General features: G+C 42.0%; 1 long non-coding RNA gene across 1 annotated transcript in view, besides 2 other annotated features; it reads left to right on the top strand.

Annotated features, from left to right (window-relative positions):
* Positions 9882-10031: an enhancer, noted in NCBI's record as "active region_22135". NCBI's record gives its function as "activates an Ori minimal core promoter by ATAC-STARR-seq in GM12878 lymphoblastoid cells {active_cell/tissue: GM12878}" and the evidence as "EXISTENCE:reporter gene assay evidence [ECO:0000049][PMID:35858748]".
* Positions 15792-16469: an enhancer, noted in NCBI's record as "H3K27ac-H3K4me1 hESC enhancer chr4:170256304-170256981 (GRCh37/hg19 assembly coordinates)". NCBI's record gives its function as "activates a minimal SCP1, AML or CMV promoter by ChIP-STARR-seq in naive H9 embryonic stem cells {active_cell/tissue: H9 hESC(naive)}" and the evidence as "EXISTENCE:reporter gene assay evidence [ECO:0000049][PMID:30033119]".
* Positions 20444-20689, top strand: part of LOC105377529 (uncharacterized) — a 55915-nt gene continuing 55669 nt past the window's right edge. The window contains exon 1 of the long non-coding RNA XR_939437.3: positions 20444-20584. This is a non-coding gene — a long non-coding RNA (uncharacterized LOC105377529). The remainder of the gene's footprint in view (positions 20585-20689) is intronic.

The raw sequence follows: 20689 nt of genomic DNA, 5'->3' as shown, positions 1-20689 counted from the left end.
CTGAATAGTCCGCACCTTTATTCTTACTTCCCCTTGCCTGCTCAAACTCCAACCCAAGACCTCAACTCAAAAGGTCTTGCATGTCCTGTTTTCTGTCGGTAAGGACCATGTTTCTGTTTTCCAAAGCAATATTTACTCAGTTTGAAATCTGTCATTTTTATCTATGTATATCTATTTATGGTCAATCGTTCTCAAATTGTCTTAAAGTTACTCAAAGAAGCAACTGTGTGTAGATTTCAATCCTTGTTGCACACTATCAGGGAAAGGCTCACAGAAGAGGGAGGGTTGGTTTTGAAGGGCCCTGGAATTATAGCATAAGTATTTTAGGTCTTATTTCCTTCTCCATTCTTCTGCCTGAGAATGAATTTTCAATGCAGAGCTTTTTTAACATTGAAGATGTAAAATTTAGAAAGAGTCAACTACTTCATTATGTTAGCCAAAGGCTGTTACAAAGTACAATACAGTCTTTAAAATAAGTAATACAACACAGAATAAAGACTTGATTTGTGACCATAGAACTTTGGAATGGAATTCTCATGTTTATTTGAAATATATGCTCACCTAATCAAAACATCACAAGGAATAACACACTAAGTTGTGAGTTCCATAGTTGGGAAAGGGACTATACTTAGTTCCCTTTTGTTTTCCCAGGGCATCCAGCATGGAGCTTCAGAAACTTGTTAAAGCTTTATCAATATTCTTGAGTCAATTAATACAAATAAGAGGCTTAGGGCCGGCCACGGTGGCTCACGCCTGTAATCCCCAGCACTCTGAGAGGCCAAGGCAGGCAGATCATCCGAGGTCAGGAGTTCGAGACAAGCCTGGCCAACATGGTGAAACCCCGTCTCTACTAAAAATACAAAAATTAGCCAGGCATGGCGGCGCACGCCTGTAGTCCCAGCAAACGGGAGGCTGAGGCAGGAGAATCACTTGAACCCGGGAGGCGGAGGTTGCAGTGAGCCGAGATCACACCACTGCACTCCAGCCTGGGCAACAAGAGCGAAACTCCGTCTCACAAAACAAACAAACAAACAACTAAATAAGAGGCTTATTTGGATCACAGACTTTTACATAAAACAGTAATATGCCCTGAGAAAATCCCTTGACTGGTGAAATTTGCTCCAGAGAGAAGTGAATTCTAGCCTGGAAACCTAGCTCAAGTTACTTTGCAGGCTATACATCTGTAAAATGGGACTGCCTCAAACTATTGTTGAAGTTAAGCAAGCTACATAAAATGTCTTGCGTAGTCTGTGGTCCACAACAAGCGCCCAATATTTGTAAGTTTCCCTTTTACTTCTTTCAGATTTTATCTTGAACAGCCCCAGTGCACATGTGACATGGCTGCATATACATGAGCAAAATATAAGACAGTGAAAGATATACTGTAACTCAGGAACTCCAAACATAGCTACCTACTGCACTAAAAATCCTACAACCCCTCTTTGTTGAGATTTGTGCTAATTGTCTTACACTATACCCTATTAAAGACCCTTGGGAAAATTATGATCTGGTCTTAACAATAGAAATAGATATATTTCTCACAAGCAACTAGTTTGTATTTTAACTATGTGTTGTGTAATTGATCACATTTATACCTGTTGGCTACTAGGAAGCTTATAATCAAATGTATTGCTTCATGTTTAGCAACTATATAGGACATCATTGTAAATGTCCTGGCATTAATTTTACTCCTGGCTCTATTTTATATGTCTGTGAATGTTTTCTCCTTTCAATACATTTTTGTCTACATTTAATGTGATTTTGGTATATTGTATATTTCTGTATAAGCTGTCTGAAATCTTATGAAATAGACTAGGAAATACATATACATGCATATATGTATGTGTGCATGTGTATTGTATTAGTTCATTTTTACACTGCTATAAAGATATTACCCAAGACTGGGTAATTTATAAACAAAGGAGGTTTAATTGACTCACAGTTTTGCATGGCTGGGGAGGCCTAAGGAAACTTACAATCATGGCAGAAGGGGAAGCAGCCATGTCTCACATGGCAACAGGTGAGAGAGAGCATGTGCAGGGGGAACCATCAAACACTTATAAAGCCATCAGATCTCGTGAGAACTCACTCACTATCCTGATAACAGCATAGGGGAAACCACCCCTGTGATTTAGTCACCTCCCAACTGGTCTCTCCCTTGACATATGGGGATTATGGGGATTACAATTTGAGATGAGATTTGGCTGGGGACGCAGAGCCAAACTATATTTTATATATATATACATATATATGTGTATATATATATGTTTGTGTATACATATACATATGCATATGTGTATACATATACATATGCATATGTGTATATATATGTACATATATACGCACATATATATACACGTGTATATATATATGTATATATATAGAGAGAGAAACAGAGGGAGAGAGTCTTTCATGGCCACAAACATTGGTTGGAAAAGGAAGTTAAAAGAAAAACAAAAGACCAAAGCACCTTGTCCATTCCTTTGACAAAACAAAATAATGGAGGATTTCCCTGTTCTCTGTGCTATTTTACCCCTAAAAGTATGCTCATCAAAGTTATTGCTATAGCCTTACTATGCCGGGTTTTTTAAATTACAGGTAGAAAAGGAATTTATTTAAAGGATATTGGGAAGGTCATGAAGTCAGCAGGAGTGTTGGAAACCATATCTGAGAAATCTTCAGGAACCTAGTTCAGCCAGGCGGCTGGAACTATAGTCTAAGTCACAGCAAAGAGCCAGTGTAGGGAGGACGCTTGCTGCTCTAAACCCTGGATCCCTGTGCTAAAGCCATCACTCCACCAGCAGCAGTGCAGGACTGCTGCCCCTGCCATCTGTGGAAACAGAGTGTTGCTGCCACTGCTGCCAAAAGAATAAATTCTCCACAGCCTCCTTTTCTTTGTATCACTGTTTCTGATTCGAAGTTCTGGATTGAAGCCTCTCAGTGGCTGAGCTAGGTCATGTGATCATTCTCAAGTTGCAAGGCAGCCTGGGAAAATGAGTGCTGGCTTTTTTCTCATCTTTCTGTGATCTGGTCTTTTCCATCTTTCCAGTCAAAAGGCGGGATCTGCTCCTTTCCACACACAGCCAGTGGAGAATTTCCCAAACACAGAGACAGGGTTCAGATCCTGGATAGGCAAAAGCCACACGTACCTTTTACCTCATACCTACATTTTTTAAAAGGATTTTATCTAACCAAAACATACAACAAAAAACACATTTAACCTCTCCCTAATGGGATATAAACCAAAGCCTTATCAGTCACTACAGACAGCTGCATTCCCCCTTGATACCATTTGGATCTATGTCCCCACCCAAATCTCATCTTCAGTTGTAATTCCCCAGTGTTGGAGGTGGGCCCTGGTGGGAGGTGGTGGGATCATGGGGGAGAGTTCTCATGAATGGTTTAGCACTATCCCCTTGATGCTGTTCTCATGATAGTGAGTTCTTGTGAGATCTGGGTGTTTAAAAGTGTGTAGCACCTCCCCCTTCTCTCTCTTGGTCCTGCTCCTGCTACATAAGACACCTGCTCTGGGTTTGCCTTCTGCCATGAGTAAAACCTCCCCAAGGGCTCCTCAGAAGCAGATGTCGCCATGCTTCCTATACAGCTTATGGAACAATTACCCAGTCTCAGGTATTTCTTTATAGCAGTACAAGAACGAACTAATACACCCCTCTAGTTTGGGTACAACCTTGACCAATAGTCTACAATCTATTTAAGTTTCACTATGAATAGCACACTCTATGTAAAATAAAGCAGAAAAAGGAGAAAGAAGTTTCAACTTAATTAAAATATATAAACTTATATTCATTCAATTAAAAAGAAAAGAAGTGTTATTCATTTTATATATTCTACAGAAAAACTATCAATCAAGCTGGAGAAATTTTGATCCATATAGAATCTTTGTGTTCTATTAAAATGTACATACATAAAAACACACTTTAAAACTTTTCATTTCCTGGTTAAAATTTTAGTGATAACTCAAATATAGTTATAGTTTATCAACAGAAACATAATTCTGAACTGCATTTTGCTCTTGATAGAATGTTATGTTTTATTGGGATTTATGAACTCATTATTCTTGTAGATGATTGTCCTGCCAGACCTCTATCGAGTTGGATAGGGATGGCACCGCGTTCAAGAGGCCGAAGGAGAACTGGAGCCAGCAAACAAGACACGAGGTTTACTGAGGTTTATTCTTTTCTCTACAGGTTAAAGCTGGAGTGCACCACTGAGATAACACAATGTGGTCTGACGCCTCCTATACTGATGAGATTAATAAGATTAATACAATGAAATTAGTTTCCCAAAGCCACATTGCTTGCATCAGCAACCATCATTACTCACAGATCTTGCCCTATTGTAATCTTGGTCAGAGATTATAACAGTTGAAGCAGGTTTGAGGACTACGAGGCATAATCCCTCTATAAAGAATCTTATCCTGTCACAGTCCCGCTATCTCCATGTCTGACAACTTCACTCTATGGAGAATACTGTGGTCTTTTTTTTTTTTTTTTTGTTTGAGACAGGCTTACTCTCGTTCAGGCTCGAGTGCAGCGGCTTGCTGTATCCTCCGCCTACCGGGCCCAAGCAATCCACTCGCCTCAGCCTCCCGAGTAGCTGGGACCACAGGTACTTGCCACTGTGCCTGGCTACCTTTTTTGTATTTTTGGTAGAGACGGTTTCCCCCATGTTGCCCGGGCTGGTCTCACACTCCTGAGCTCAAGTGATACGCCCGTCTCGGCCTCCCAAAGTGCTAGGATTACAGGTATGAGCCACTGCATTCAGCCTTTTTTTAAACTTTATTTCAACTTTCTCTTTTAAAGTCAAATACTGTGGTGTCTGCATTGGAAATGTATGGCCCAGTGACCACAATAACATTAATAATGTCTTATTTTTTAGAATGCTTCAAATATTTTATTTAGAATCATTGAATTTTGGAGTGGAACGGTGACTTACATATCCAGTCGTATGGTTCTCAATCTTGGCTGTTTAGTGTAATCACCTGGGGAGTTTAAAAACCACTGATGCTGATTAAACCCCACAGATTTCAATTTAATTGGTGTCAGGTGTGGTCAGGACACTAGCGGTTTAAATATCCCTAAATGAGTCTAATATGCTGTCAGGTGTCTCTGATATCATCTAGCTACTACTTCCCTCTCCACATTCATTTTATAGATTAAGGGAGGCTTGGAGAGTGTTTGCCTTGCTCATAATCGCCAGCTGGTTAATCATATTTAGTTTGAAACATCAGTTTAGCCCCCTTTTCCTGATAAGGACCAGGACCAGTGGGTGAACTTGAGATTTTCACTTGCAGGACTGCCACAGGCTAAATTGGGACAGTTGGCAGCACCTGTCCTTGGAGCTTCTAGAACTGCCACAAAAGACAAGACTCATTACTGAATCAAAACATCTCTGTGAGGTTGGCGTGAATTACCTCCAGTTTATAGGTGATGAAACTAGTGTTGAGATAGGTTTTCACAAGTCACATAGTTATATTGGGAAACTTTTGAACAAAATCCTGCTATAATTACCTCTAAAGTACACCTAAATTATCTTCTTTTATTTTTAGGAATCATATCCCTTGTCTTTGCACTTAAAACTTAATTGATTCCCAGCCTTACTCATAAACTGAATGAAAGGAAACAGTCTTAAAATAAAAAGAGAAATGCATTATTGTATGAAGGTATAAACACTTTCACCCTTGCGGCCATTTCTGGTTAACAAGGTTTTTTTAAAATGCCAATAATTTATTTATCATGGCATTCATATAAGAGGATTTTTCTAATGGGAAATATTAACTGGCATGAGTAAAATGCATGAGGTTGTATGTAAAAGGATCATACACAAATAACTGCATTTGTTAATCCTATTCTGAGAGCGGGAGGTAATTATGGCTTCACTGGGAAGGCTTGCCTGAGTAAGCATTGACCAGTCAGCCTGCTGACATTTGGAATCCTGTTGGCAAAACTCTCCTGTCACCACCAGATGTGAACCCCCTGGCATTGAAACGGGGGGGTTATTCAGAAGAACAATGACTCTGGTTGATGACAGGGGGGTGAGTGCACAAAAAAGGGCCATCCCTTGACTGCCTAATTCACAGTGACTCATGCTTTGACCTCTGAGGAAACAGTCACATCTTTCACACTGTTGCTTCTAACTTCTTTTTATTGGAAGCCTAATGGTTATTGAAAATGTTCCACTGGGGGCACATTCTTCAGCTGTCCAGTCTCTCACCAGTTGCTGACCAAACCCAGAAGCTGGTGGGAGTGCTTCTCTTTCAGCCCCTGCGGATATCCCTGGCCATCCACCTGTGGCTGGACAGTCCCTGTGCCTGCTGTGTGGGGTCACTGTAATTCCTTAGAGTCTTGGAGATCTGACAAACTGCCCATAAAACGTGCTGCCCCACCCATTGCCTTTCTTCGGTAAAGGTTAAAGGAACAGGGGGTAAGAATTCTCTCTCCTTTTCACTGATGTTATTGATTTCCAGAATGTAACAAAAATATATCTGATAGATACATAAATATGTAGGTAATAAATACTAGTTCTCACCCCTCCCATTTCTCTCTCTCTCAGCAAATAAAAAAAGATTGAAAGAAAATACACCAAATTGGTAAATAGTGGTGGAGGTTTTTTTTTAATCTACTTTGTTACTGTATGTTCTAATATATAAAACACATATTACTTATATTTACAAAAATAATATGTGAAATATATTTTACTTATATTTACAAAAATATGTGAAATATATTCTACATATATTTACAAAAATAATTTGTAAAATGTTTTTCTGGTATTGGTGTAAACAATCCTATCTCTTTGATCTGTGGCAGTCTAATTAGCTAAGGCACTGATTTACCTTACAACCAGGAAGATGGGTTAAGATATTGCTGCTATGAAAAGGCAACATCCAGGATCCTGGTGGTGATGGAATGTTCTATATCTTGGCTTTATCCATGTCAATATCTTGGTTGTGACATTGTACTATAGTTTTGCAAGATGTTACCATTGGGGAAAACTGGTTAAAGGGTATATGGGATCTCCTGTTTTATTTCTAACAATTACATGTGAATGAACAGTTACCTCAAAATAAAAGGTTTCCTTTTTTAAAAGCCCATAAAAGATATTGCTCAGCTATTTCTTAGGTACATCATCATTACCCATCTTAGAGTCATTCTGCAGGTGAAGATTTAATATTCTCTCCCAATGATTTTGATAGTACAAATTTTGTTGCATTGTCTTTAATATTTTAGGCCACAGAGATATATTTCAAAATAACTGTGAACACCTGAAAGAATAAAATGAAAATAAGCATTTTTGGGAGGCAATTCTCTGTGGGTCTCCAGTGTGTCTGCACATCTTGTGAGGCAGACATTGACCACCCTTTGATCTGGACTCTCTCTTCACGGAGGTTTGCTTAGTGAACCGCCTTAGGAGATAGAATGTCTCTGTTTAGAGCAAAGGGCGGGTATGCTTGTTGTCCACCTAAAATGTAGGTTCCCTAAGCTCAGGGTTCCTCTCCTAGAACACAACCCAAGATGTCATCTGGACCTCTTTGTGTCACCCTGTAGGAATTGGGGACCAGGGAACCTGTGAAAAAATGCTGATACTAAGGCTACTTCTAGTGCTGTAATAAATGGTCCCTTAGCATCTATGAAACTGTACCAGGCTAACTTGTTAACTTGTGAGTACGCTAAAATCTCAGACCCGTCACAGTTCTTGACAATTCTGGAGATGAGGATGGGAGGCTGACGGAGACGTGGCTGCTGGAACAGGAAAGCAAGGGTCTTGTAAGTGAGATAATGGGACCTAATGGAGCCCATGGGAGTTGGCAGAGGCATGTTGACTCCATTTTGTGGTCAACAGGACAATCAATGGTCTTCCACTTCATTGCCTGTTTATGAGGAGAAATCGGGAAGCTGGTTGCAGGCTGAACACCAGGAAGTAAATTCAAAGACAACTCCCCAACTACCTTGGTTGTTGCTAACTACCCTCCAGATGGAGGGCTTCCTTGCCAATCTGAGAGCAGCCTCAGGTCCACCCCATTGTAACTACTAGTACCAAGATTTGTTGTGGGTGGGCAGAAGGTTCTTCTGCCTTTTGAAATAAATGATATCAGCCACAAGGACATTGCCATCCAATGTGGAACCCTGTGAATGCCAAAGGCAATGCAAGTTCATTGGGCTGGAGTAATGAGCCATGCTCTACAAAAGTAAATGCAAAGCTTTTTTTAATGGGCAGAGCCACTCTCTCCTTCATGACTCATTGCTTTCCTCCTCCTCTACTTCAGCTTAACCACTTTAATGAGAAAAACAATTAGAGGTGAAGCTAAGGTCTCCCTGGTCCACATCAGGCCTCAAAGGTCATACTCATCTGTCCAAGTGTGCTGGAGATTTGAGGGGAAAGGAGAGACTTCCAATTTTATGGATCTATTAGATACCTATTAGATACAGGTCCCAAGTCACTGTCCTCTCTGGTCCTGTGGAAAGAGAGAATTCCCAACTTAACCAATGGAATTTGGGCAAGATTTGCAGTGGAGAAGGAAAGCTACAGTGGCCTTGTGCCAGAGCCCTTTGAGCCAATTTATGTGTGCTGTTGTGGACTCCACTGCTGAATGCATAATTATTATTAATGTTTTACATCCTTGTATTGTAACTGTCTAGAGGGGGTTCTCCTGATTCAGAAGAGTCACATTTAGAGACAAGTTAGTGAAACACATACATTGCTCTGCAGACCCCTCCCTGCACCCTTTGGGGTGTTCCAACAGAAACAATATAGACTCCCAAGGGGGAGAATAATCTTGATTAAGAATTTAAAGGCAGTAAGGATTGTATACAACAGGCCTGTATGGCCAGGAAAAAAGGCTAACAAGAGGCAGAGGCTTGCAGTAGATTATTGCCCACTGAATTCAGTTGCTGATTCCATATCCCAGCTGTTCCAGACATTGTAACTGTAATTGAATCCATTACGCAGACCAATGGCACTTGGCATGCTTACCAATGGCTTCTTTGCCATACCACTGGCACCTAAGCATCATAAACAGTTCCCATTCACATTTCAAAGCCTCCAGTATACATTTGCAGTAGTCTTCCATGAGCACCTAAATTTCTCTGCCACTTGCTACTAGTGGAGAGGAGGGGTCAGAATTTAGTGCAAGGGCCTCTACCCTCTGATGTCCATAGCTTTGGTTATGTAGATGACGTCCTGTTGGTTGGCAAGCCATAAGTGCCCGTCTCAGTGACCTTGAGAATGGTATTAGCATGCCAGCAGGTGAAGCTGCCAGCAGGTGAAGCTGATAAAACCTGACAAAATCCAGGAACTAGCTCACCAGGCAAAGTTTCCTGGGACTATTTACAGCCACACTGGTAGTCAGGGAAAAATTGCTATCTCTTCAGCACCCCACCCCCATCACCCAAAAGGATGCCCAGAACCTTAATGTACTCTTTGGATATGGGAGACAGTGTGCACCTCACTGGGTATCCCATTGTTTCTTTTCTCATATCACATCAGCATGATATGAGCAGGGTCCAAACAGACTGCATTAGAAGCTGTCCAGCAAGCTGAGACACACTCTCCAGCTTCAGGGCTCAGCAATCCTAATGAAACCTCAGCTCTATGTCTCTGCAACTGATGACTTTGCCAACTGGAGACTCTGGCAAAAGGAGTCAGGCTTCATCCAGAGCCACCTCTTGGAATTTTGGACTTGTTGCTTCCATGACATTGTGACCAGGTCCACCCTCTTTAAAAAGCAGCTCTGAGCTCGCTAGTGGGCTCTTGTCAAAAAGGAGGGCCTGACTCTCAGAAGCCTGTGAGTCTTCATCCTGTATTCTCACTTTGTGGTGGGTCAACTTTGACTCCATGACTAACACAGTGGGAAGGCCCCAACCACCTCATTTGTCAAATGGAAATAGTAGGTTCAAGAACACAGCTGGCCTGGCTCCCACAGTATCTTGGTTTTAGGTGAAAAAGTGGCAGCTGTTCCTTTGGGGGAAATTCCATCCCCATGCTACCGCCTGCAGCAAAGCTGCTGGCTCAGTGTGGTCCTGCCCTCACAGTGTTCCCCTCAGTGCCTGGGCCGGCTTCGCTGGTGATTTGGCTAAGCTGGTACCTGACAGTGTCACTGGACTATTGTGTCTGTTCAGCTTTAGCACCAGCTATGCAGAACCAAAAATAGAGGTGGTCGTTCTCCTGTGCGGGCAGAAAACAGGAGCATTCTCATCACTCTGGCCAGTACTCCTTTTGATGAAGCTAGTTATGATTTTACTGACTCTCTGGTGATCGTTGGTGGCTTAGATGCCACTTTGAAAACTATACATTAAAGACAACTATCTTTGGACCAATGAACTGTGAACTTTGAATTGTGAGAACAAATTGTGGCTGCTGCTGGAACCGCCTGGATCACTCACATAAACACCCACATTAAAGGCCCATTCTCTTGTGGGACCAACGGGGACCAAACTTGAGCCTGTACCATCCACCCTGCCACCACTGCCACCTCGATCCATCATCATTGTATAAGATGTGGCAACATCCACCGTTATAGACTTGGCACACAGTAAAGGACTCTTTGTTTCCAATGGAGAGGCTACTGCTGCATGCCAGACTGTGGAGCCTGTCACAAATGGACCCATTTGTCTTGTGGCAAGAGAGGCCACATTTCACAGGGTGTTGTCTCTGTAAACTCCTGGCAGATTGAATAAATTGAACCTTTGGCCCCTTCTGGTACCTATTGGGGGTGCCTTACCATTATTGATACTTTTTTTATATATATAATTTTTTTTGTTGTTGTTTTTTAGAGACAGGGTCTTGCTCTGTCGCCCAGGATGGAGTACAGTGGTGTGATCCTGGCTCTCTGCAGCCTCAAATTCCTGGTCTCAAGAGATCTTCCTGCCTCAGTCTCATAAATAGCTGGAACTACAGGCTTGCACCACCATGCCCAGCTAATTTTTAAATTTTTTTAGTAGCAATGGGGTCTGGTTATGTTGCCCAGGCTGGTTTCCCACCTCAGCCTTCCAAGAAGCTGGAATTATAGGTGTGAGCCACAGTGCCCAGCCTGTTGACAACTCTTTTAGGTTACAACGTTGCTGTTGCAGTGTGTACAGCCAACTACTCACACCACAGTGGCCCTTCAAACTTCTCTGTGATAAGCTTTTGGCTTTCTGGATGATTTACAGTCTGACAACAGTACACCTTTGATTGCAAAAACTATTCAACCAAGTGCTAATAGTCAAGGTATTTAGTAGGCCTTCCATGCTCCCATCATCCACAGGCCTCTGGCCATTGCAATGGCCTCCTCAAAACTGAACTCAAAAAGATTTCTGACTCAACCTCCCTGACTTCCTTCAGATTCCCACATGTGTCTAAAACAGTTTGGTCACTGAGTGAGGCTGTCCCAGAAAGTGATCATCTTCTCTCAGCTGCTTCCTAGGTAATAACTTGACAAAATGGGAGGAGACCTTTTCTGGAAATTTGGGATTCTTCTCTAGCACTTCCTGTGTATGGTGTGTCTTTCTTACTCCTAGGAGTAACCCCCAGCTGGCCAGGCTTGTACTATCTGAGTGGCCATCTGTCTCAAATGGGACCCTAAGAAGTCTGGATTCTCCTGTTGGATTGACATGTCCCGGGTCACCAGGACAATGACCACTGGTTGAATACATTGCTCAGAGTCTCCCTATGCTGGCACACATGGGCCAAAATGGAAGATATAACGCATCTCTGTAAGTTTTATAAAAATGCCCTAAGCAAAAATTGACAAATGGGATCTAATTAAACTAAAGAACTTTTGCACTACGAAGGAAACTATCAACTGAGTGAGCAGACACCCTATAGAATGGGAGAAAATTTTTGCAAACTATCCATCCAACAGAGTTCTAATATCCAGCATCTATAAGAAACTTAAACAAATTTACAAGAAAAAAAAAAAACCTCATTAAAAAGTGGACAAAGGACATGAACAGACACTTTTCAAAAGAAGGCATATATGTGGCCCACAAACATATGAAAAAAAGCTCGTCATCACTGATCATTAGAGAAATGCAAATCAAAACCGCAATGAGATACCATCTCACACCAGTCAGAATGGTGATTATTCAAAAGTCAAAAAATAACAGATGCTGGAGAGGTTGTAGAAAAAAAGGAATGCTTATACACGGTTGGTAGGAATATAAATTAGTTCAGCTTTTGTGGAATACAGTGTGGTGATTCCTCAAAGACCTAAAGACAGAAATACCATTTGACCCAGCAATCCCATTACTGGGTATATACCCAAAAGAATATAAATCATTCTACTGTAAAGATACATGCACATGTATATTTATTACAATGCTATTCACAATAGCAAAGACATAGAATCAACCTAAATATCCATTGATGGCAGATTGGATAAAGAAAATATGGTACATATATGCCATGGAATACTGTGCAGCCATAAAAAGGAACAAGGTCATGTCCTTGCAGGGGCATGGATGGAGCTGGAGGCCATTGTCCTTAGCAAACTAATGCAGGAACAGAAAACCAAGTACCACGTATTCTCATTTGTAAGTGGGAACTAAATGATGAGAACAAATGGACACATAGAGGGGAACGACACACAATGGGGCCTATTGGAGGGTAGAGGGTGGGAGGTGGTAGAGGATCAGGAAAAATAACTAATGAGCACTAGGCTTAATACCTGGGTGATGAGGCCAGGTGCGGTGGCTCACACCTGTAATCCCAGCATTTTGGGAGGCCGAGGCAGATGGATCACTTCAGGCCAGGAGTTCAAGACCAACCTGGCCAACATGGTGAAACCCCGTCTTTACCAAAAAATAGGGAAAAATTAACTGAGTGCAGTGACATGCACCTGTAATCCCAGCTACTAGGGAGGCTGAGGCATTAAAATTGCTTCAGCCTGAGAGGCGGGGGTTGCAATGAGCCAAGGATGGGCCACTGCACTCCAGCCTGGGCAAGAGAGTGAGGCTCAGTTTCAAAAAAAAAAAAAAAAAAAAAACCTAGGTGACAAAATAATCTGTACAACAAGCCCCCATGACACAAGTTTACCCATATGACAATCCTACACATGTACCCCTGAGCTTAAAATAAAAGTTTTAAAATATGCCTTTATCCCTCTTGCACCTAATTTATCTAGACGAAGATGTGGGTGAAGTAGGAGATGAGTAACCACTGGAATGAACACAATGATTCTCTGGTGGTGAGAGCTGGGGAGAGAGTTCCTCCAACCCCAGAAAGTATGAGGGTGGGAAGATACCCTGAGATCTTCCCCAGGAAAGAAAACACTCCAATGCACTAAGTGCCTTGCCTTTAACTAACTACTGGGCCTGCCATCCTCTGCCAGATAATTATCACCAGGACTTGATTTCCATTCGTGTTAATCTTACCAAGAAGTTTAACAGAAGCAGCAGGGGATAGCCCCAGTTCTTGCCACCCCATTCAACACACTTGTTCTTGCCACCCCATTCAACACACTTGCCAAGACCTCTAGATGTCTTTGCCCCTCCCTTTCTTGTAGGTATCACTCAATCATCGCCCAGAACAAACAAATGCCACCAGCTGGTGGCATGGACAAAAAGGTCAGGTTAGACTCACTGCTATCAGGTAGTTCCTCCACAAAGAAGGATTAGATTCAACTGTTCTTTGTGGAAAACCCTAATGCCAACCAGCCAACCAGGAGAATATATTTGCAGCATCATGAACCATGGTCCCCAACGAATGCAGGTCCTCCTTGAGTGGCATCGGCAATTGCAAACATCTCTTCCCTAGGGCACCATGTGCATCTCAGAAACTGTAATTCTTATGTGGAAGCCAGACATTAACTTGCCTCTCTTCTGGAAACATAGTCACATACCCCTTAAGTATAGTCATAAAAGAGCTTTGAGTATTTTGGGAAAACAAACCTCAGCCCTGTGAGGCATTCAGATAGCTTCAATTCACTGGCCAGGATTGTTAGGAATGATTGAATTGCCCAAGACTTCCTCCTTGTGCTAATACATCCTGCTGTATCTGGAATAATACCTCAAGCCAAGTGGAAAAGTCAAAACACAAAGAGCAAGCTAGTTGGATTTCCAAGTTAGACCATGATGGTTTATAGGATTGGTTTCAACTTGAGGCTGGGACTCTGGGGGATATGATTGAGTTCCACAATGTAAATAGGCCACATTGTGTTGCTTCAAGTCTTGTTAATTAAATTCTGCATAAGACTATTTGAATGGGGCCGGGCACGGTGGCTCACATCTGTAATCCCAGCACTTTAGGAGGCCAAGGTGAGTGGATCACCTGAGGTTAGGAGTTCAAGACCTGGCCAACATGGTGAAACCCTGTCTCTGCTAAAAATACAAAAATTAGCTGGGCATGGTGGTGGGTGCCTGTAGTCCCAGCTACTGGGGAGGCTCGGGCAGGAGAATTGCTTGAACCTGGGAGGCAGAGGTTGCAGTGAGCCGAGATCACGCCACTGCACTCCAGCCTGGGTGACAGAGCAAGACTCCGTCTCAAAAAAAAAAAAAGAAGAAGAAAGAAGACTATTTGAATAGATTTGGTTTCAGCCTCTGTCAGTCAGTTTAATCAACATGGCTGATGGAGTGGGGTATTCATGTGAAAATTTATCAGAAGCTGAGATGGTTGGGTTGAATGACACCCACCCATACAAAAGATATATCCACTTCTTAACCCCCAGAACTTGTGATGTGACTTTATTTAGGAAAAGGATCTTTGTAGATTAATTAAATTAAGGATGTCGAGATGAGATCATGTTGGATTATCTGGGTATCTGGGTAGGGTTATCTGGGTAGAATCATGTTGGATTATATGGCCCCTTATGAAAGATTCAGATTTCCTAAACTCAATCCAATGAAATGAGTCCGTATAAGAGAACATAGATGGGGACACAGGAGCTAAGAGGGGAAGGCTATGCAAAGACAAAGGCAGAGACCAGAGTGATGCAGCCACAAGCCAAGGAACACCAGAAGCCACCAGAAACCGGAAAGGGCAAGGAAGACTACTCCTCTAGAGTCTTGAGGGGAAACAGGGCCATGCCAACAGACGCTTCACCTCTAGAACTGCACAAGAAGAAATGTGTGTTGTTTTAACCCACCCAGTTTGGGATGATTTGTTATGGCAAATCTCTGGAAGCTAATGCAACAGTATTGAAATGAGGGTTGCACATTGTTAGGAGAAATTTTCCCACAGGTTTGTCACACTCCTGTACTCTCATAAGCAAAGGCTAACTGCTCTTTGTTCTGCATTATCTTTTCAAGGAGGTTTGTTTATCAATCAGTCTTGGAAGATAGACATAATATTTTCCTTCGGAGCAAAAGGCAGGTGAGATTATGGCCCCTGATGAAAGATTCAGGTTGCCTAAACTCAAGATTTTGCCCTTGTAATGTAACTGACTGCATGTATAGGATTGTTCCAGTGTCATCTGGCCCTCTTCCTATCACCCTGTGGGAGGTGGGTCTTACCAGTGCAAATATGCTGATACTTTGACTATTGCTATTACTGGGAGTAATAAATTGTCTTCTGTCTCTAACCCCAGGGGCCTCATACCTTCTACCAGCATCCATGGAACTATGGCAGGTTAACTTGTGAAATTGAATGTAGGTTAAATCTCAGACTCTTCACAGTGATCGACAGATATTGTTCTTAAATCTCCTGCAGTGAAGCTGTAAGTACCACTTTACCTCTCTCTCCGTCCCCTGTAAATGCCTAATTTAAGGCTATCTCCTCTCTTACAATTCCCTAAAATTATGTCAGCATTATCGGTCAAAAAGCAGATAGATTGTAAAGAGATTGATCTATTACAACACTTCACCTTTTCATCAGTTAGGACAGGGAATAAAAGAGGGAAGTTTTTGCCTCTGAAAAGCTGCCGAGGCCAGAACTGGAGACATTGACGAACATGTGAACATGAACACATTTTATTATCTTTACAAAGTCATCTGGAGCCAAGAATGCTTTAGCTGGAATACATCACCCCACTTGTCACCTCAGATTAGATGAAGAACTGATTTGTTGACAACTTTTCTTCAGGCTAGAGACACATATTCTACTCCGATCTCCCACTCCCAGCCCCAGAGAGCTGAGATAAAGGATAGTCCTGGCGCTGTTGAGCTTTATGAGATGACTAATTGGTGCCATTTGTGGTTAAATGTCATAAAGGCATCATATCTACAGCACTGTCATCATTCAAAACTAGGCAGGAGAAAGGAATAGGAAGAATGTTTTCGTTAACAAGCCTAAACCAGTCAGGGCGGGCTGTAGGCAAAGTCAGGAAACTGTTGAAGTTTGTCTCTGGCACCACCCACTCCTTTTCTTGTTTTAGTGCCTTTCCCCAGGATCTGTAGGACCCCTTCCAGCTGCCTTGGGCCGCACAGGCAGTGCCAAAGCGCTGTTCTTCCCAGAATCCTTACCATGCCGTGGAAATGTACCTGCCCAGGAATTTCCAAATCGTCACTGTTGCAAACCAACAGTACTCTATTCATCTTTCCTTTCTTTTTAATTAAATCACTCATGGAGAGACCCAGAAGACCAATTGGCAACATTATAGACTGAAAGCTATATGCTAAACTCTGGGAAACTGCATCTTTGTGGGTTGAATTGAGAAATAAATTTCTATGTATGTACACTTTGCCTTTTGAATTGAAGAAAAAAGATGGCTATAAAGAAGTGGGAAAATATTTCCCACTTTAGGGTGGGGAGGAAGAACTAACCAGAAGGGCACTCCACACTGTAGTAGAATTCTCTTCTCAGCCACAGACCCTGCCACCCACCTGCAGGAGTCTCCTCTTAACACATTCATTCTGTGACTTCCATTCCCTGTAGGCAGCATGGCTGAGGGCGAGGGAGGATGTATTGGGACCTCTGGAGAGGCTCAGAGGCAATGGGAGCAACACAGGCCTCTGTTCATGAATCATGAATCTCCTCTGTAAACCAAAAGGTATTGGAGACAGGTCTCAATCAATTTCGAAAGTTTACTTTACCAAGGTTAAGGACGCACATGTGACACAGCCTCAGGAGGGCCTGACAACGTATACGCACGGTGGTCAGGGTACAGCTTGCTTTTACACATTCTAGGGAGACATAGGGTTGGTCTAGTAAGGCAGGACAACTTGAGGTGGTCATAAGGAGATAAGAGACAAAAGGTTGCATTCTTTTGAGTCTTTGATCAGCTTTGCACTGAATACACAATTTAGTCTGGCTCAGTGAATCTGCATTTTCACCTAAACAATAGGGCAGAGGAAGCACTCAGATAAGCATTTGTCTCAGGTGAGACTCAGAGGGATGACTTTGAGTTCTGTCTGTCCTTTGTCCAGAAGGAATTTCCTTGTGGCCAAATTGTGAAGGAGATATGTAGCTTTTTATTTTGTAGCGGTCTTATTTAAAAATAACATGGGAGGCAGGTTTGCCTGACATAGTTCCCAGCTTGACTTTCCCCTTGGCTTAGTGATTTTGGGGTCCCAAGATTTATTTTCCTTTGACATCTCTAAAATGGAGAGGCAAACCAACCAGTCTCAACCAACATTGACAGTTAACAAAAGCAGTTGCCATTGTATTTGTTAAGACTCCTTCAGTCTTAAGAGACACAATCCCAAATCAAAATAGTTCAATTTCAAATGAATGTACTGACTCATATGATCAAGTCCAGGAATGGAGTACATATCAAAAGTTCAAGAAACTCCAGAGATGTCAGCAGGTGTCCCCTCTCTCTTTCTTAGCCTCTGCCTCTCTCTCTCTCTTTCTCTCTCTCGCCTCTGCTTTTCTCTGTCAGCTTCCTTCTCTCCCAATACACATGGATGTCTTCATTATGGTGGAGGCATCAGAGAGTTCCAGGCTTTCATCATCCCAGTCCCAATTCTGGATTCTAGAGAAAGTGGTTCCTTCAAGTGCTTGTATATAAAATTCCAACTGAGGTCACATACCATTTGGGGACCACTTTCTGAACTAAGAATGGACAGGCCTGTGTCACTTCCCCCCAACCCTGTGCAGAATGATGAACAAGGAATGAGGAGGGCTAAGCCTCTTTTGGGTAAGGGGAGAGTGGGAGTGTGGGGGCAAAGATCCCAGCCAGATCTAACAAAGAACGGCAAAGGTTTATGCAGGCCCAACTCTGATAAGGCAGTGAAGCTAGGTGTGTTCACACCTAGAAAGATCATCGCTCGGGCAGTTTGCCACTTGATTACACAATTCGCCTGTGTTTAGTCTGCCATTCTCTGGAGTTTTGGACAATTTCAGATCACTGGTGTCTGGGGCAAGCACTTCATAAGCTAAGTCCACTGTCATATATCACTGGGTATTGTGGAATTGAGTCCCTTAAAAGCTTCAAGGAGGCCAGGCCCTTTAAGCCCAGCTTACTATTAATTTTTATATCTTATGTCACACCTGTGGACAGCCATTAGAACAGGGGCAGCAGATAGGTGGCATTCATCCTGCCACTCCCTGCTCCCATGCCCCTAGCAGATATAACTCATTAATGAAAGCACTCTTTCCCACTGAGCCAGAGAGGGCCTCAGAATCATTCTCAACAAAGTTCCCCAGGCAGCCACCACACCCACTGGGAGTTGGTATGTGAGGCGAGACCTATTTGTTATCTCACAGCTATGGTGTCACAAGCCAATTAATTGATGATCTTTTTTTTCATTACGCTATGGCCAATCAGCAGAGGGAGGACCTATATGAAATTTCCCATCGGTAAAGTTGTCCAAAGACTTCAAAGATTGAAAAAGCAGCATGGCCCTTTAAGGGCTGTGGCAGGGGCTGAGCATTGTGGGAAAAGCCTCTCTAATTAAGACATTGTGTGAAACATGCACTAAGATGCAGGTACAACAGTGTTACTCAAGGTCATCAGATCCAGTAGATAGCCAGATATTTTCCAACAGATTGTATACACATGCTTCCTCCGGATTTCCTTACTTAAAGATGAATCAACTGAAACAACAATACAGGGACCATGATAGTTCAGAAAAGAATAAAGAGCATGGCCCTGAAGATGCAGAGCAAATGCATATTTTGGAAGATGATTTACAGTAGAAAAACATGGAAGTCAACCTTTGAAAGCAACCTTTTTGTGATCTCAAACAATTACAGGAAAATACTAACATTGCAAAATTATACAGAAGATATGAAAAATAAATAAAGATGCAGGTTGACATATAAATGGAATTGGATAAAAAGGATGAAACAAAAGTAAAACATAACCAAAATACTTTGAAGGCACTGTACAGCAGAACAGATAGTGTAGAAAAATAAATTTGCATGTAAAAGACAAATTAAGAATCTTTGCAAATACACAAAGGCATACAGACACAGGTGATTTGAACCAAACAATTAACAAGCTTCAGCTAATAGATCTATATGTATAAACCTGCAGTGGGTTTAGATAGCTTTATAAATGAGTTCTGTCAAATATTTAAGGACTAGGTCATCTTTATTACATATACATTGTTTTAGAGAATAGAAAAAAAGAGAAAGTTTTCCAATTCATTTTATGAGACTATAAATATTCTTGATCTCAAAACCAGACAAAAATAGCAAAAGAAAAGAAAATTATAAGCCAATTTTACTAATAAACATAGACTTCATAATGCTAAATAAAATGTTAGTACATCAAATTCTGCAAAACAATATTGTAAAAGAATAATATATCAAGACCAATTGCAAGGCTGTAAGGATGTTTTAACACTAGGCAATGTAATGTAATTCAATGCATTAACAGATTAAAGAAGGTAAACCATCTTGGTGAAACAGAAAACTCACAGATAAAATTTTTCATTCATTCATTCATAATTTATGAAGAGAAGCTTCTTAAACTGAGACTAGAATAGAATTTCCTTAAAATGATGAAGAGTATCAATCAAAAATCTCTATCATGCATGATAGTTAATGTCAAAATCGTGACTTTTCCCTTTAAAAAATCAGATGCAGCCAGGAGTGGTGGCTCACACCTGTAATCCCAGCACTTTGGAAAGCCAAGGCGAGCAGATTGCTTCAGCCCAGGAGTTCAAGACCAGCCTGGGCAACCATCTCTACAAAAAATACAATACAGGCACTTGGTGGTGTGTGCCTGTAGTCCCAGCTACCCCCGAGGCTGAGGTGGGGGGATCACCTAAGCCCAGGAGGTTGACGTTGCCATCAGCCATGACTGTACCACTGCACTCCAGTCTGGGTGGCAGAGCAAAACGCTGTCTCAAAAAAAAAAAAAAATCAGATACAAAAATGCAAACTATCAGCACATCCATTTGACATTGCATTGGAGATCTTAGCTGCACCGTAAGACAAGGAAAAACAGAAGGGATAAGGACTAGAAAGGAAGAAGCAAAACTGTCATTATTCACATGTTATGTAAAGTTTTGGTGCCGCAAAAGGAATAGCACTCGAGTCTAAAATTTTCTTTTTAATTCTCAGCAAGGCAAGTTACTTCTATAGAAGGGTGCACCCTTCCAGATGGAACAATGGTGAGCGCACACTCGGACAAGAGAGGGGAAGAGGTTCTTATCTATGACGCACGTGGCCCCTGCTGCTGTGTCGTTTCCCTATTGGCTAGTGTTAGACCGCACAGGCTAAATTAATTCTGACTGGCTAATTTAAAGAGAATGACCGGGTGAGTGCTTCGGCGGGAGTCAGGGCAGAGCAGGTAGCAGATAATCTGAACGAGTTAGGGTGGAGCAGGTGATTAGAATGAGTTAGGGTGGAGCAGGTGATCGGA

The sequence above is a fragment of the Homo sapiens genome, chromosome 4 (assembly GCF_000001405.40).
Source record: "Homo sapiens chromosome 4, GRCh38.p14 Primary Assembly".
Taxonomy (NCBI): Eukaryota; Metazoa; Chordata; class Mammalia; order Primates; family Hominidae; genus Homo; species Homo sapiens.
This window is presented reverse-complemented; position numbering and strand designations above follow the sequence as displayed.